Raw genomic sequence first — 17,101 nt, 5'->3', positions numbered from 1 at the left:
CATTCTCAAGCTGTTGCTGAATGTCTCTAATAACAGTATTTTCCATTTTATGTTTTTTCTTCTGAGTAAAATGTCTGCATCATTAATCCTTAGCCAAAGGAGATGTAACTAAAATTCACCCTCAGAGAAAATGCACGCTCATAGTCAGATTGGTGTCGAGGTTTTTGAAAATTATTTTGGATGTGTTGATGGGGGAAAGAGAAACTGGATTCCCACATATACCACTATTGGGATGTTTGTCTTTTTGAAAAGTTTTAGTATGGGGCCAAAGTGGCTTAAGAGTAGGAGAGTGAAGGAAAAACAGCAGATAGAATAAGGGAATATTTAAAAACCATTAACAAGGGGGTTCCCTCATTCAGCTTGGAGCCCCCCTCCCTCTGTCTCTGTACAGGGGGAGCCTCTTCCTTCTTTCTTGCCTATTTTCCACTCCTTAAATCCCCCCCACCCCAAAAAATAAAATAAATAAAAGCCATTAAGAAAAGCATTAGATACTGAATGGACAAGTAGCTTCACAATGGAACTGGAAAGGGATACTGATATAAGAGTAGATGCAAAAGAAAAGTTATCAACTGCTCAGGATGACACTGAGTACTAGAATATTCGCCAAGCACAGGAGTTATAACTCCAGTTACCCAGACACGCAATCCAACTACAGAAAACAGAATAATGGAAAGAATTCTCCTTTGACAAAGAGGCATTTTGGTGGGAACTATTAGAAAGTACTGCAGAATAACTATCTGTTGGACAAAGGTTAAAAATACCTATGCAAGAAAGAAGCACAGCCTGGAGAAATTGTAAAACTTGGCCAATAAAGCAAAACCGTAAGAGTATGATGGGCAAACATTCTAAGGATGAGTAATCCAAAGAAAGAACCCACAAAGCTCAGTGCTTAATAATGACCCTAAGATGTAATGAATTGTAAAATACTGCTTGAGCCTGAAGTGTTTGTTGTTGGCCTGTGCTCCTCAGTCACACTCTCATCTCCCTGTGGCCTAGTCAGTTACGGTACCACGGAGCCAGGGATTAATGTGGGGGCAATAACTTCCCGGTATTGGAAGTGGAGCTGTCCTGGACAATGGGTGAGAGCTTCGTAAATTCCTTGCACTTTTCAGTATTGACTTTTCTTTCCACTACTTTGCCTCCACTCTTTGCCTTCAGTGCTGCATCCCCAGATAGCCAGCAACCTACTGATGAAAGTCAAGATTTCCATATCTGCCTGTGGATGTTAACTGATTCCATCAACCAAAAGTCAGCCAGGCACAGAGCTGTTTCTCTGAACACTCAGCCCCCTCCGGCACATTAGAATAGCAAGACAAACTGGGCTACCAGGCTTAAAAGTTTTGCCTTTGCTTTTCACAAATCCCCACACATTTCAAAACAGATTAATACCAGGACAGCACTTTGGCATAAAGATGCAAAGTCAAGACACAAAATAGAATATCCTGACTCATTTTCTATGTGAAGTTTCTAGCAAAAACATATATATATATTTTCCCCTGCCTTGAGCATTGAGTGATTCGGCAGGAAACATTGGTAGACCCATTTTTCTTTTCCTGTCTCAGAACTGGGAAGTGAAGTCAGACTGTGCAATAAAATGCTGATGACAAAAAGATCCTGTAACTCTGGTGAGCCAGTTACCACTTTAAGACCCTCTTAAATGTATCTAATACAATAGCACATTTTGGAAAAGTTCGGTGAGGCTCGACTAGGATGGGAAAAACCCTGGAACGTTCATCCCAGAGTGTGCCTGCTCCATTCCACCCAGCTCTCCTGCAAGTGGCAGATGCCCCAGGGGCCAGCCATCGGCTAGGAGTCGAGACCTAGAGGGAAAGAGGGGTGAAGGGGATAGGTGGAGGAGATGGGTGTTTTGAAGAAAAAAAAGAGGTCATGGAGAATTTCTGGAGTGATTTTTTTTCACCACCTTGAAATTGAAATGAAATGAACCCCCTGCAAATTATTTGGAACCAATTCCATTCTGAGACTTGATTTACTAAAGCACAATAAAAAGGTATCCTTAAAGGGAGAACATAAAGATAAGTACCTTTTAGATGCCTTGATCTAAGATAAGATTCCCTTATCCAGTTCAAATACAGTAGGATTCCAACAATTATGAGATGGCATCTGGCAATTTGCCTTTTACACCTAATACTTATAATAAGAACACTATACTTACAAAATGTTTCACAACTACCTGTATTAGCTAAGCCATAATTGACCCTTCTGACGGAGACTGCTAGTGTTTATCTTGAATCACAGAAACACAAAGTTTTTCCCAACTATGTGGCATATTAATCATTGAGGTAATAGTGTTGATCTATTTTTACTGCTACTGGGCTGTGTAAAATTTCCCTTCCCTACTCTTTTCTTTCCTTCCTTTCATCCCCTTCCCTTTCTAGAGATTCTATTCCTAGAGTCCAAGCTGAATATATATTTCTGGCACAGTTCTGCAGATATTTCAGATGAAAGCAGATTTCAGTTTGCATTAACTAGTAATTTTCCAAGGTATCAATTGATTAGAGATGGCATAAATTTGGCCATCCTGTGTCAGGGAAAGCTACTCGGTTGCATGGAGGTTTATCTAACTTTAGCGAATTGGGATATTTGGGTTTGGAACCCTATCTCAGAGGGTTGTGGGGCTTCTTGATTTCATATGGATAAATAATTTGGAGAGTTAGGGATTGAAATGATCGAAATGATTTCCTATAGACCTTACACAATGTCCCAGTTGGTAGTTAGTTGAAAGAGGAATATTTAATTTTGAAGTCAAAATTGTTACATAGAAAAGTCCTTTGCATGTAGAACTTTAATTGAAGGATGACTCACTCTTACATCAAGTCTTTATAAGCAAATTTCAGTGAGTACAGGCAAACAATTTAAATTTACAACAATGCTAATTTCAGAAATCATTTGTTGCTGATATTAGGGAGCTATGTCTCTTGTATCTGATGAGCTTATGGCTTTCTGAAAAAAAAGAAAAATATCAATGTGGGAGGAGAGAGAGAGAGGGGAAGAAGGAGCAGAGAGAGGAGGCCCCAAAGAAAATGGTTAGTGAAGGAGAGCCAATCATAATTCAGCTGTTCCAAGCCAACCAAAGCATCTGGTTTCTTTAATTTAGTACACTTCATACTAAAAGGCCAGTTTGTTTACACTGTATATTTTAAGTTATTCAAAATATCTTTTCCAAACCATTGGGTTTGCAACTTCAGGGGAGGCTTTCAAATGTGGCTGGGAAGTATCCCCAGGTCAGTATCACATGGCATGAATAATATGGAAAAGAGAAAAGCTACAGACATTTTAAGGGTAGTTAGCATGCCATTTCAGACACTTCTGTTACGTCTTTCTGAGAGAATTGAAAATGCCCCAATTCACCCTCTAAAATGAGTAGAAAAGCCATTTTTTTTCTATACAGGTGGGCATAGATGCAAGTAGTCATGCGCACATGCTCAGGTACTTGAGGAGGTCTCCAAAGGCAGCCCCATACTATGTTCCAGGAATACCACCTATATTTTAACTGAAACAGTGAACTGAGAATGCACAAAGGTATCAAATCCAAGAAGAACTTATTTGGAACCCTTCTGGAAGGAATATCAGGGTTCCACCCTCAGTCTTCCGACTGTTCTCTCACAGACCCTCTCTCAGTGAGTTCATCACTGATAGGCCTCAGTTATCAATTCTAAGTGACAGCTAAGCAGGGGCCTTCTAACACTGTCCTCCAAGCCACCTTTCTCACCCAGACTCCAGTCCTGGATTTCCAAATATTTCAAAATACTTTTACCTGGCTGTCCCACTGTCACCTGGATGTCTAAAACAGAATTCAACCTTTTAAACCAATTCCTCTTCAATCTTTATATTTATGTAATTGATGCCATCCTTTTCCTGGTCAAAAGAGGTGGACATCTGGGAGTTAATTTCAACTATTTTTTTCTCGTCTCACATCGCCCTCTGTTGTAGAAAACAAGTCTTTTACTGTTTGTTTTCCAACATTCTTTAAATTTGAAATTTGTATCTTCTTTCCACTCCCATTGCTCTCACTTCATTTGATACTTGAATTACCCAATAACTTCCGGTATGATTTTCCTGTATGTGAGATTGAAAAGCATATACCTAAAGGCAAATATCAGAAACACTCCTGAATGTTGTAAGTAAACAGAAGGGACTTTGCTCTACCTAGAAGAGACCCATACAAGAAAACTCATTCATAGCCGAGGCATTTGGCAAGCTATTACACTCACAATGCAACTGCAAGGCAGGTTCTTACCCATTTATCTTTTTTGTGGTCCAGGCTAACTGCATGACTGGCCCTCAGCTGAACATCACAGCCTTTCCCATGTCTGTTAATATTTGGCAAATCTCGCTGTCCTCTCCAGATGATTAGGTGATCAGATTATTAATCTTACTCTTAAGGTCAGATAAAATAACAGAAGTTTAGAGAGAGACAGGTTTGCTCCCATTTCTCCAGTCTCTCCAACAGGGACTGTTTGACCTCCTCAAGTGCCGTAACTGCAGCAACGTATGGAGCAACAGCGACAGCAATGCCCAATGGGAGAGGCAACTGAAAAACAGGAGGCAACAGCTCCATGGTGAGAGGTTGGTCATGAGCACCTAAGGCCTGTGTGTGACACCTCTGTGGCCTGTGTAATTCCCATTGACATCAATTCCACATTACGGATGCGTCAGGACCACAGGAAACAACCTTACATTGCTTCACAAAGTTACTCTCGCTCAAAGCCGTAAATAAATGCTTCTCAGAGTGTGGGCCTCCCACCAGTAGTACTAGAAATTGCACTAATAGAAAGGCAAATTCATGGGCCCTACCCTGACTGACTCAGTGAGTCATGAACTTTGGGGACAGGGCTCAGGAAGCTGTAGTTTGACCACCTCTCCAAGTTATTCCTATTTACGCTCTAGTTTGAGGACCACTGCTGAAATGTATGATCATAACCAGGTGTAAGCAAACAAACAAATAAAAACATAAATGTACAAAGAATATGGACTAATGAAGAAGTTTGAATGTGGGTTCTATCTCTTCTTGTATTTGCAGTGCTCAGCACAGAATAAATCCCAGTAAACACTGTTGACTAAATAACTGAAAGGGTCTCATTTAGGTTGATGCCAAAATTCAAATTATTTTACCTAGTGAATGATATCTTAGATTTCTTTGCCTATCTGTTTGTTTTGAAAGAGTCAGCAAAGTCTAGAAAACAGAACACTAATGCGAGAGGCAAGGCTTTCTAGAATAATGAGAATCAGTTGTGAGGCTCATAGGAAAGTTTGTCCTCTTTTTCCTGTCTTAGGAATGTTTGTGTGTATGTCAGAGGCCAGAGTAGATATTCTGTTAATAACCACCATCCCCCCAACAAACAAATCTTAAAATACTAGTTTATGTTTTAATCACTCAATTGCCCTTAGAAGCCACTGTAGTCTCCCTCTATTTATCCATTTGGTCATCAGATCTTGAAAATTTTGCCTCAATATTTATTGGATTCCTCTCATTGGGTCCTTTCTAGATCTTCAGTAGTCCCCTAGTTTCTCCCCGAGGCACTGTTGTCACATCTACAATGGTGTTTCTCTCTCCTCATGTGTGTTCACTTTCAGTCCATCTCCCAAAATCATACTGCAGTAATCTCTCTGAAATGATGACCCTCTCCCATCATTCCATGTTAAAAACCCTTCTATGACTGTATCACCTTCAGGGTGAAATAAAGGGCCTCTCCTCATCTGACTCTGTCCAATTCTCCAGCCTTATTTCTTGCCACTATGCTGTGCCAACCTCATTGATTTGTTTGTCCCTCCACAAACATTATGCTGGGATATTTCTATCTACCTTCACTGTGTGGCTAATTTAGAGCTATGTTTCAAGACTCAGTTCAAGTATCTTCTCCTGAAGGAAGCTTTCCCAGACCACATTCCCCTCGCCCCTTTTGCAATGGGTGCCCTTCCTCCATGCAGCTCTCCATCCTAGCATTCATCGCCATATCTTGCTTCTCTTTTTCCTTAGAGCTCCTTAAGGACAGGAGCCATTTCTTATTAATGCTTGTCAACATAGCACTTGGCTCTGTCCCTAGTACACAGCAGCTGCTCAATTAATGTTTATTGAGCAAATAAATGAACGAATTGAAAATAAAACCAGTAGTTCTTCCAAAGTCTGCCCCTTAGGATAGAGAGTGGATAGATCTCCATGTCGAATGGGTATCTACTGAACAAAAATGGCTCATAAGCAGAGATATGACAGTTTACAACAAGTGAGAAATGATTCCACATCTTCCTACGAACTTCAGACTGAACCATTTTGGGGACCCACAGAAATTGAAAATCTCTTCTCATGCTGTTAGTTTCTTTTTCTCATATTTCCACATTCCTCCTAGGACTGGAGGAAGACGTGCTGAAAGGAAACCTCTGAAGGGCATTGTTGAGAAAGTTAAAGTTTAAGTGGAAGAAGGAAGAATAAGAAATTGTGAGAATGTTTGTTCTCATTGCCAAACTTTCAGCCTCCAGGGATTTAAAGCTGGGGGTAGGGGACTTGTGTGAGTTTGGAGAGCCTGTAACTTTAGGTGCTTATTCAAATTGAACATAAATTCTAAGAAATTGGAAGTTTATCTTCTCAAATTATTGGAACGAGCTTGGAATTTAATTTTGCATCCTGTTCTCTAGAGACACAGGGAACCCAAAAGGGGGAGAGGGTTATTTATTTGCTCAGCTTGAGAGCTTAACACTGGACACATGGAGGTTTTTTTCTTCATTTATTTTTTCCCCTCTCCTCGTGATAGCGTAAGATCTAGAGGAACTGCAGGTGGGTGGTTGGTTTGGATCCAGTTCCCAGACCTTGTTGCTCTTTAATTGTCCTTGTTTTATTTATTTTCTGATATTTGGAGTGATTTTCCCAGGCTGACGTAGGATGGGTCCCAATCTACAAAGGAGGATCCACCCTCAAACTCTCACACTCATTCTCAGTGAGCAAGAGCTGTCATGTCCCAAGGAAGCTCAGGGTTAAGGGGAGTGTCATTCTGGTCACCAGAATAGCTGGAAGCCATACCCTTTGAGAAGTCACTGGAAACAGTGGGAAAGTCTTTTTTTTTTTTTTTTTTTTGTCTTCCTAATCCAAATGGCTGGTCTCTTCAGTTGCGACTTCCGGCTGCTAAAGTTGGGATTTAGCCCTATAGAATGTTGGCCACAGTCAAAGATAAAAGTGCTTGGAAAACTCAGGTGTATAAATAAAACCTCAGTCTTTAAGTGGTCTGTGTGTAAAGAACACCTGGTTCCAACTCAGCACTGTCCAGCAGAACTTTCTGTGATGATGAAACCATTCTGTATTGTCTAATACAGTAGCCACCAGCCATATGTTACTCTGGAGCCATTGAAATGTTATTAGTGCACCTCAGGAACTGAATTTTAAATTTTATTCAATTTTTGTTAATTCAAGTTTAGCCACACATGACTAGGGCTACTGTATGGAACAACACAGTTTGAAGGTACAGTCTTAATGTGTAAAATAGATATATTAAGCCTATAAAGTGACGGTTTTTCAAACGGAGAACAAAGCCAGAGTACTGCCATGCTTGATGGAAGTTTATCTCATTGTTTAAGGGTACAGGGGGTCACTGACTTAGGAAGGTTTGATTTACAGTTTTTTGACTTTATGATGATGTGAAAGTGATATATATTCAATACACTCCTCAATTTACAATGGGCTTACACCCAGATAAACCCATTGTAAGTTGAAGATTTCAACTTAGAATGGATTATTGGGAATGCAGTGGCATCATAAATTGAGGAGCATCTGTATATAATTCTCCAGGTTGGACAACAGTATGAGGGGTATAACCCCAATTTTATAATCCCATTATAAAATTGCATGTGTGGCCATACAGAGCTGTCTGGAAAGATATTAATAAAATAGAGTTTCCCTGGGTGACAGAATTTGGGCTACTTTTTATTTAGACTTTTCTGGTTTATTTAAAATACTTGTAATAAGTGCATATAGATTTTTTTAAATTATAAGGCTATTTTATGAGTGTATAGTGCATATCTTTCAACATTATTAAGTTTAAAATGTATATGTACTTTCTAAATATAAATTCTACCCCTTATGACCTACACCACCCCAAATAAGGATATTTAGGAGACGGCAGGTTTTTTGCACATAAAGATGTGTACCTTCTGCTAATCAAAAAATCCAAAGAGCTTTTTTCCTCTCTTTTGTCTCTTTTACATAATACCTTTTTTTTTTTCAGGATTTTTAAACATTTTCACCACCATGTGCAATCTAATATACCTTTTTGGTATCATTTTTCTGGAACTAGTATGCTAGATATTGAAGTCTACTTTAACATGGAGGTTTTTAAAGGAATTAACTAGACAGAGACTAGAATGGATCTAGCAGGAGTAGAAGGGGAAGAAGGCAATGTCTGATCATCAAAATTGTCAGATAGGCACTTTTGCCCTTTAAGTCAAATGGGTTGTGAAGGCTGAATGGTCTTAGTTAAATGTTGGAAAGTCACTCCAAGAATACGAGTATTCATCAAATACCTATCCAAAGATGAGTGTAGCTCACATTCAGCTCTCATTGACATGGGAATTCTTTTTCCTGACGAATGAGTCCTTTGAACACTGCCTTTTTCAGTGGAAAGCCCTATCTTCCTTGTAGCTGACTCACAACTCTTTGCCCAGTATTTCTGCAGAAGAGGGCCATGTGTCAGTGCTAAGATGTCAGCCTCATGTGATCTTTCTTTCCTCGATTTATCACTTGGCATCCTGGCACACTCAGCTCACATGTGGCTTGGCGCTAGATTTACATTCAACTGAACTGAACATTCCCTCCAGCAGCTAACCTCAATTCACCCTGGGATGAGATTAGAATCAGGAAGCCTGGCCAGGTTTGAATCAGCAGTGGTGACTCCATAGAATTTCAAATGATCATGGAAACAAATATGCATCTACATGAGCTGGATTGGGCTTCCAAACATATTCACATTCGTTACCAAGTTGCTCAGCTTTTCCATAAACAACAAAAGAAACTATGTCATACATTTGAAAAATTAAAATCCAGGGTTGATAGAACCCTTTTAACACATATTAGTGCAGGAATATTATACAATACCATAATAATTTTAAAAATTTACATTTGTAAAATTCTGCCTTTTGGAAGACCTTGAAGCCTTTAAGATTAATATTCATTAAGAATACCTTTGCATTTTAAAATACATGCTGAAGTATGTGCTTCACATGGGTTAATTAACCTTATATTTGAAATTTAATTTTAGTTTTTATCTAAGTAATACTGTACATAGTTTAAAAAGCCAACTAACACTCTAAGGCTTACAATGATCCAAAACATTTCCCTTTTTTCACCACCTTTCCCTACACCCACAACTTCCCAATCATTCCAATTTAGGGTTAAATCACATTCATTATTATAGTCTTCATAATTCACAGCTAAGCCACCTTGGATACTATGTTTACATTTTCTTTATTTATTGAAAAAAACCACACATCTTTATGTTTTTAGCTTGCTCACTCTTCTGTGTGTTTGAAATAATGGTAAAATACAATAATATTGTCAAGCACAGTGGATCGGAGATTTTTCTTCTCAGGACTATTCTGCTTATAGGTCTACTTCCTATAGCTATTTGTCATTGTCCTCCTGGTCCTTCTCTTTTCTTCTCTCCTGTGCTAGATGCTCTCTCTTCCTATCCCTCCCTCTCTTCCCACCCCCACCTCCCACTTCTCTGTTTATATCCTGATTTTGGTGGAACACATCCTCCAGGCTCCCTGGCACAGGGTACATAAGAAGAAAGAAATTGACATCTTGCATACCCGCATATGGTGTATTCTTACCTTCACTTATTGTCAGGGGTCGAGAGAGACATTTTGTTCAGGGACCCCTGAACAAATGTCAATAACCTTAGTTTTTTTCCCTGGGTGACCACTTTCCATGGAGAAAGGCTTTAGGTGCTGTCGTTTAGTACACATCTTTGCCTTCATTCCCATGACCTTAGAATAGTGCATCATTCCTTCCCCAGGTGTTCCCATTGCCATTGTCCAGAATAGCATACTTTCAACATTATGGAGTGCATTATTAAGTTCAGAAGCTCCCTGACTCAGCCTCCTCAGAGAATACATCTTAGTCTTCTGCCAGGGTGAAAGGGACTATCTGATTGGATGTGTGGGGTGGGGGAAGAGATCTGGGCGTCTAACTGCAACTCATAAAGACTTCGAACCAATTCTTTTATTTTGAGCATTCTCCCAGTTCTCTTGTTTCCTGTCTTTACATTTCCTTGCTGCCTTCAATTCCTGAGGCTTTCTAAGTTTTGGGGGCACACATTAGCTTATTTTTATTTTTTTGAGACAGAGTTTTGCTCTGTTGCCCAGCCTAGAGTGTAATGGCGCAATCTTGGCTCACTGCAACCTCCGCCTCCTGGGTTCAAGCAATTCTCCTGCCTCAGCCTCCCAAGTAGCTGGGATTACAGACAACTGCCATGATGCTTGGCTAATTTTTGTATTTTTAGTAGAGACGGGGTTTCACCAAGTTGGCCAGGCTGGTCTCGAACTCCTGACCTCTCAAGTGATCCACCTGCATTGGCCTCCCAAAGTGCTGGGATTACAGGCATGAGCCACCATGCCCGGCTGCATCAGTTTATTTTGGTTAGGCTTCTCTCTTCTGCAGGCACTTAGTGGTACCAAGAAGTAAATATAACTCAGTCACTATACATCTATCCACTTTCCATCCTCCCATTGTACCTCTGGCTGATTGACGTTTCCTTTTCCACTCTTTATTCTTGTGAGTTCATTCATTTTTTACTGTTATTCTATCAAAGGCTTTGGGGTAAGCAGGTATATTCAACCTACCACATTTATCTGCCGTATAAAAAATGGAGACAAAACATGTCATCCCTGCAAAGATGTAGAAGTCAAGTCACAGAAAATGAGATACATAATCAAGATCCTAGGTAAAGGAGTAATGTCGTTAGGGCTAGATTTTGCTTTCTGTGCCTTGACTAGCCGTACCTCCTCTTGAGGCATTGTTCTGTAAGGACTTGTTATGTAACCCAGGTCGTTCTTCTTAGCAGTGAGTACCCTTTTCAGGGATCACTCAAATAAGAGGGACTCCAAGAAGAAGGAAAGAATAAAAGGGAAGGGGAAACAAGGGAGAAGAGATGGCCATGAAACAGTATGCATTGAAGGCACTCTGAATTGCAATATGCAACCACACTTCACCCAGAACTAAGTTTTTAAATGATAAAGCAGTGCCAGGGCAAATTAGAGCACACAAACCCCCTACAGCTGAGGTAGACAATGGGACAGCTAGGATCCTTGGTATCAAGTGTGGGAGACTGAGGAGCATCATATTCCTGAGTGTGTTCCAGCGATTGTGCTATTTCTACAACATCTCATTCATTACGTACAAAGAGAAGTCATCAACAGCTCCAAGGAATACAGTTCAGCATGTTTTCCTTTTTGTGAGAATCTGCAGTGGGTTGGGGACGCTTTGCCTAGCACTTTGAAATCTTAGTACATTAGTAATAATTTATATAGTATTAGAGCTGTCAGAGAACATCAAGATAATTTTCAGATGCCCCTTTTTCCTTTAATGCTTTGAAATATTTGAGTCTACAATTGTCTGAAATATGCTCTTGCTATGTCAGAAGGAAAGCACCCAAGAGAAGACAGTAGGTAAAGCACCCAGAAAGACAGACTGAGACGGTGGCTTGAGAACACTTTATTCATTAACAAAAATCTTGATTAATTTTGTGAATTTGTTTCAGAAGTTTTTCCTTACTAGAGGAAACAATTGAATGATCTTGCATAGAGAAAAGAAATCCAGATTCCCTTAAATTATTTTTTGTACCATATGATGCAGAAATTTCACTTCTAGGTATATATTCAGAAGAAAAGAAATCAGTATATTGAAAAGCTCCCTGCACTCCCATGTGCACAGCAGCACTATTCACAACAGCCAAGATACGGAAGCAACTTAAGAGTTCACCAGCAGATGAATGGATAAAGAAAATGTGGGACACATACACAATGGAGTACTATTCAGCCATAAAAAAGAATGAGATCCAGTCATTTGCAACAATATGGATTCACTCGGAGGTCGTTAGATTAAATGAAGTAAGCTAGGCACAGAAAGATCAACTTTATATATTCTCACCTATTTGTCAGTGCTAAAAATGAAGCAATTGAGCTCATGGAGATAGGGAGTAGAATGATGGTTACCAAATGCTGGGAAGTGTAGTGGGAAGGAGGAATGGTTAATTGGTACAAAAATATAATTAGATAGAGTGAATAAGATCTAGTATTTGATAGCACAATAGGGTGACTTCAGTCAACAAAATTTATCACACATTTAAAAATAACTTAAAAAGTATAATTGGATTGCTTGTAACACAAAGAAAGAAATAAATGCTTGATGTGATAGATATCCCATTTACCTTGATGCGATTATGATGCATTGTATGCCTGTATCAAAATATCTCATGTACCCATAAATATATACCCTTACTATGTGCCCACAAAAATTAAAAATTAAAAAACCCTTAAACAACAAAAAAACCCCAAATCCCCCCCGCCTTTTTTTTTTTTTGAGACAAGGTCTCTCTGTCACCCAGGATAGAGTGCAGTGGTGCGATCTTGGCTCACTGCAACATCCACCTCCTGGGTTCAAATGATTCTTTTACCTCAGGTAATTCTTTTACCCAAGTAGCTGGGATTACAGGTGTGTGCCACCGTGCCCAGTTCATTTTTTTGTATTTTTAGTACAGACAGGGTTTCACCATGTTGGCCAGGCTGGCCAAATTCCTTTTTGTCATAGGAACGAGATAGGCATAAATTCTCCACGAAGGAATTATTTCTATTGGAAAGAATATGGGAACTAAATTTTTTTATTTGCTTCAGATATGGGACTTTTGGTGAAATTTCAGTTTTCTGCGCATTGTACTTTCACAACAAGTTTTTAGAAATCACGCTGAAATTCTCAACTGAGAGATACGTATCATGATCAACCTTTGCCACTTATACTCTGATACATGTGGTGGTGTATTTCCAGATTTTTACTATGTGTGGCTGTAAAAATGCTGTTATGGGCTAGAGTGTGTCCCCTGCCAAATTCGTATGTTAAAATCCTAACCCAAGCACCTCAGAATGTGACCTATATGGAGATGGGGTCTTTTAAAAGGCAGTTAAGTTAGATGAGGCCACTGGAGTAGGCCCTAATCCATTATGACTAGTGCACTTGTATGAAGAGAAAATTAGGACACAGGCCCAGAGGGAAGACCATAGAAGTGACATCTACAAGCCGAGGGGAGAGGCCTCAGAAGAAACCAACTCCACAGATGCCTTGATCCTGGACTTTCAGCCTGTAAGACTGTGAGAAAATCAGTTTCTGTTGTTTAAGCCATTGAGTTTATGGTGCTGTGTTATGACAGCCTTAGCTGATTAAGACATATGCCCGTAATTTTATGACTCAGTAAAGAAAATATTCACTTTTACTTAATTAACCCAATCATGTTCTTTACACACAAAGAAGGAGTCTTTCAGATCTGTTACCCCAGGACCTGTCACAATGCATGGCGTACGGAGGCACTCTGTGCACACGTTGAGTTTATGGACTGTCCCTGAATGTCATTCAGATGGAGGACTTTGCTTGTGGCCCTAGTTGTGTGATATGAACAGACTTCAGCATGGCCATCCCTGCCGACGCCACCATCTCAGATATTCCATCAATGCTCCTTAGCCCCGAGAGCAGGCCAAAAAGACAAAGAACATGGTCTCCAAGCGGCCCAGCCCCAAGCAACACAACTCCCTGGGGTTTCTCCAAAAAGAGAAGGGTGCGTTGAGTGGCTCTTAGCTGTTCCTACCAGGATATACAGGTGAGCCAAGAAAAACCACATGGCTAGCTTTATCAGGAGCTGCTGACAGGCCTGAAAGATCCAAAACGGACACCTGACCCATGTGACTGTTGTCAGAACACTATCCACCATGGCAACCAGGCCAGTTTCCATCGCACATGTGTCCCGCAGCTCCACCGAAAAGGATCAAGAAAGTCAGGATTCTAAATACCAACAGCATCACTCTGTCAAAACCACCCTTGCAACCTTTCTCAGAAAAGGAAATGTAATGACAAGATGAAAGTTAGCCAGAACGGCCATGTCCAGAAAAGCTCTCAGTAGTACAGCCATCTGTCCGAAATACTCTAACCTACAAGGTGGCCACGGTCTCTTCAGAGGGTCATGGAGCTCTGCAAAGCTTGTCTTAAAACTGATTAAGGTAAAATAGTTATTAGAAGACATCTTTTTCTTTCTTAAGATCAATAGAAAAATAAACAGGGCTGGGCAAGGTGGCTTACACCCAGAATCCCAGCACTTTAGTAGGCCAGGGCAGGAGGATCGCTTGAGCCCAGGAGTTCAAGAGCAGCCTGGGCAACACAGCAAGAACTCATCTCTACTTAAAAAACAAAATTAAAGTATCAGCTATGCCATGAGCTATCTAACCAGGTGCCCCTCTCCCACCATTTCCTCTCCCTGTACCCTGTTTAGGTCCTTCACAGAACTTAGGACAATTTCGATTTGTCTTTCTCTCTCCTCGCCTCCCCGCCTATTTATTTTCTGTTTTCCCCATTAAGGGCAGGAACTGTGTTTATTGTATTTGCCATTATATATTCAAGACAAATTATGATGCCTGCTACATAATAAATGCTCAATAAATATTTGTAGAATGACTGACTGAATGAAAAAAATGTTAAAGGGGACTGAGGGAAGAAGCTAAAATATATTTAGTTTTTGTGCTGTGTACCTTTTAAGGCACTGTTGTAGGGTCACCTCATTTAATTCTTAAAACATAATAGATGCTTAATAAATATTTTTAGAATGACTAACTGAAGGAAAAAAATGTTAATGGAAACCAAGGAAAAAAGCTAAAATACATTTACTTGTTACTGCACTGTGTACCTTGTTAGGCATTGTTATATGATCATGTCATTTAATCCTTAAAACATTAGAATGCTGCACTCATTTATTAATTTATTGAGTGGAATCTTGCTCAGTTGCCCAGGCTGGAGTGCAGTGGTGTGATCATAGCTCAGTGAAGCCTCGAACTTTTGGCCTCAAGCGATCCTCCCACCTTAGCCTCCCTAGTAGCTGGGACTACAGGCATGCACCACTACACTTGGCTAGAGTGATATAATTTTAACATAATTTTTCCAGTAAGAAAACTGACATCCAGAGAAGTTTATAATTTCTTGGTGTTTCTGTAATGGTGAAATGAACTATCTCTCTGTTGCCTTTCTAGCACTTTGAAAATAAAATTCTCAATACTTCAGAATTAAACTTATGTATACACACGTGTGTGTGTGTTTCCAGTTTACTTTTCCTCTTGTCCAACCTTTCTGATATGTTAGTGATTCTGAACTTTGTGCAATGCTGAGGTGAAGGCTGAGGTTGGCTACAGAGACGATGGCAGCTGAGCTACAAGGCAGTCTCTGTAATTTTGTTTTCACTGGTTATTTTCAATATATTTATTAGGTTGTTAAACTGAACCATCTTGACTGGCCCCAGCCAAGTTTCTTACAGTGGAAATGGCACATTAACTATGCAGCTGTCATGAGAGAAGTCAGTACTCTTAGGTGAGTGCCTGTAACTGAAATACAGATGGGCAAGTCAAGAGTGGGTCGAAGGTTCAACATGCTCTTTTCCAAACCTCTCTGGTTTGGAAATCTAACTCGAAACCTCCTGGAGTCAAGGCTTCTGATGAGATTCCTGGAGCTTCTTGGTCCAGGCGTGGGTTTGGAATACTTGGGAAAGGGCCGACCACAGGGATCTCAGGGCTCCTCATGCTGGCTCTGTTTGGAAGTGTTGAGCTGCATGAAAAGTAGGGCACTTGATGGGGTGGTGGAGATTTTTCAAAACCTCAACAGGAATTTCAATTGTTCATTTGGACAAGAGTTTGGGTTTGGTTCCTACGTAAGCCCAAGTAGTTTGTTTTATACTGACTTTAGATTTTTTTGATTCAAATCTTTGCTGTTATTATCACGTAAGAAAATCAATCTATTATGGTATTTTAGTTTGGTCATAATAAAAAAGTCAATATGTTGCAAATTATTAACAATACATTTAAAGAATGCCATTCTAAATGAGAGTGTGTTTTCTAGTATCTTAACGTATTAAAAAATTTTCAATGTTTTTTAAATTAAATGAATTAAATCATGAAAGAAGGACTAAAATGCTATTCTATCTGGATCAATGCCATTAACTAACCTTTTAAAATAAAAAAAGCAGATTAGAGAACACTTAATATTTTTTCAACAATATTGTTATTCATGAGACTTGATTATGCTAATATTATTTGAGAATGACATATTATAGTCATATAAAATGTGAAAAATATAGGCCTGAAAGCAAATTGGATGGGTATTTATAAAGATTAATAAATATTCTAACTGGATATCATTGTGAAATTATAAATAATTTGCCTTAATATCATTGACAGATTCTAACCCAAAAGAATTCAAATATATTGGATTTCCTCTCCTGTTCAATTGGAATTCAAGGACTTAATCCACTTTTAATTACACTGTTCCTGTTGTTGCATCAAAAGGTATGTTTATCAACTGGTTTTGAGTTTAAGTAGCTGTTTCTTAAAATTCATTTTAAATCTTCTGTTTTTTTTTTTTTATATAGGCTTTCATACTTTAAGATACAGTGCAGCTGAATACAGTTGAATATAGTTGAGTTGAGCTATTCAACTGATCAGTTCCCTGCAACTTAATATGTATGCTGAGAAAGAGTTGACTCTTGGGGGAATTTCTAATTTTTTGATATTTATCAGTTTAATATACTTAAAGTTTTGGGGTCTTTTGTGCTCATTTGAATTCAGATTTCTGTTTGCATAACACTTTAATGATGACTCGGATTAGAGATAGTTTCATTGATCAATAGACAGAAAAAGAGATTTGCCATCTTTTAAACTGATTCTTTAAGCACTTCATTTACCATTCTGAATTTTTTAACATTAATTTTTGTGATATTTTTACCAAGGCAATTCATCTCTGCTCTATTTTCTGATGAAGATATTGTGATTTTAACAGTAATTTAAAACAAACAAAAAT

At 39.2% G+C, this 17,101-nt stretch overlaps 1 protein-coding gene and 1 long non-coding RNA gene across 2 annotated transcripts in view; one reads left to right on the top strand and one right to left on the bottom strand.

Annotated features, from left to right (window-relative positions):
* Nucleotides 1-17,101, bottom strand: part of PDE7B (phosphodiesterase 7B) — a 343,874-nt gene that overhangs the window by 108,761 nt on the left and 218,012 nt on the right. The gene's annotated exons all lie outside the window — the stretch shown is intronic.
* Nucleotides 13,987-17,101, top strand: part of PDE7B-AS1 (PDE7B antisense RNA 1) — a 28,976-nt gene continuing 25,861 nt past the window's right edge. The window contains exons 1-3 of the long non-coding RNA NR_149042.1: nt 13,987-14,265; nt 15,519-15,619; nt 16,483-16,590. This is a non-coding gene — a long non-coding RNA (PDE7B antisense RNA 1). The remainder of the gene's footprint in view (nt 14,266-15,518; nt 15,620-16,482; nt 16,591-17,101) is intronic.

The sequence above is a fragment of the Homo sapiens genome, chromosome 6, assembly GCF_000001405.40.
Source record: "Homo sapiens chromosome 6, GRCh38.p14 Primary Assembly".
Taxonomy (NCBI): Eukaryota; Metazoa; Chordata; class Mammalia; order Primates; family Hominidae; genus Homo; species Homo sapiens.
Note: the sequence above shows the minus strand (reverse complement) of the source record. Positions and strands in the feature narration are given on the sequence as shown.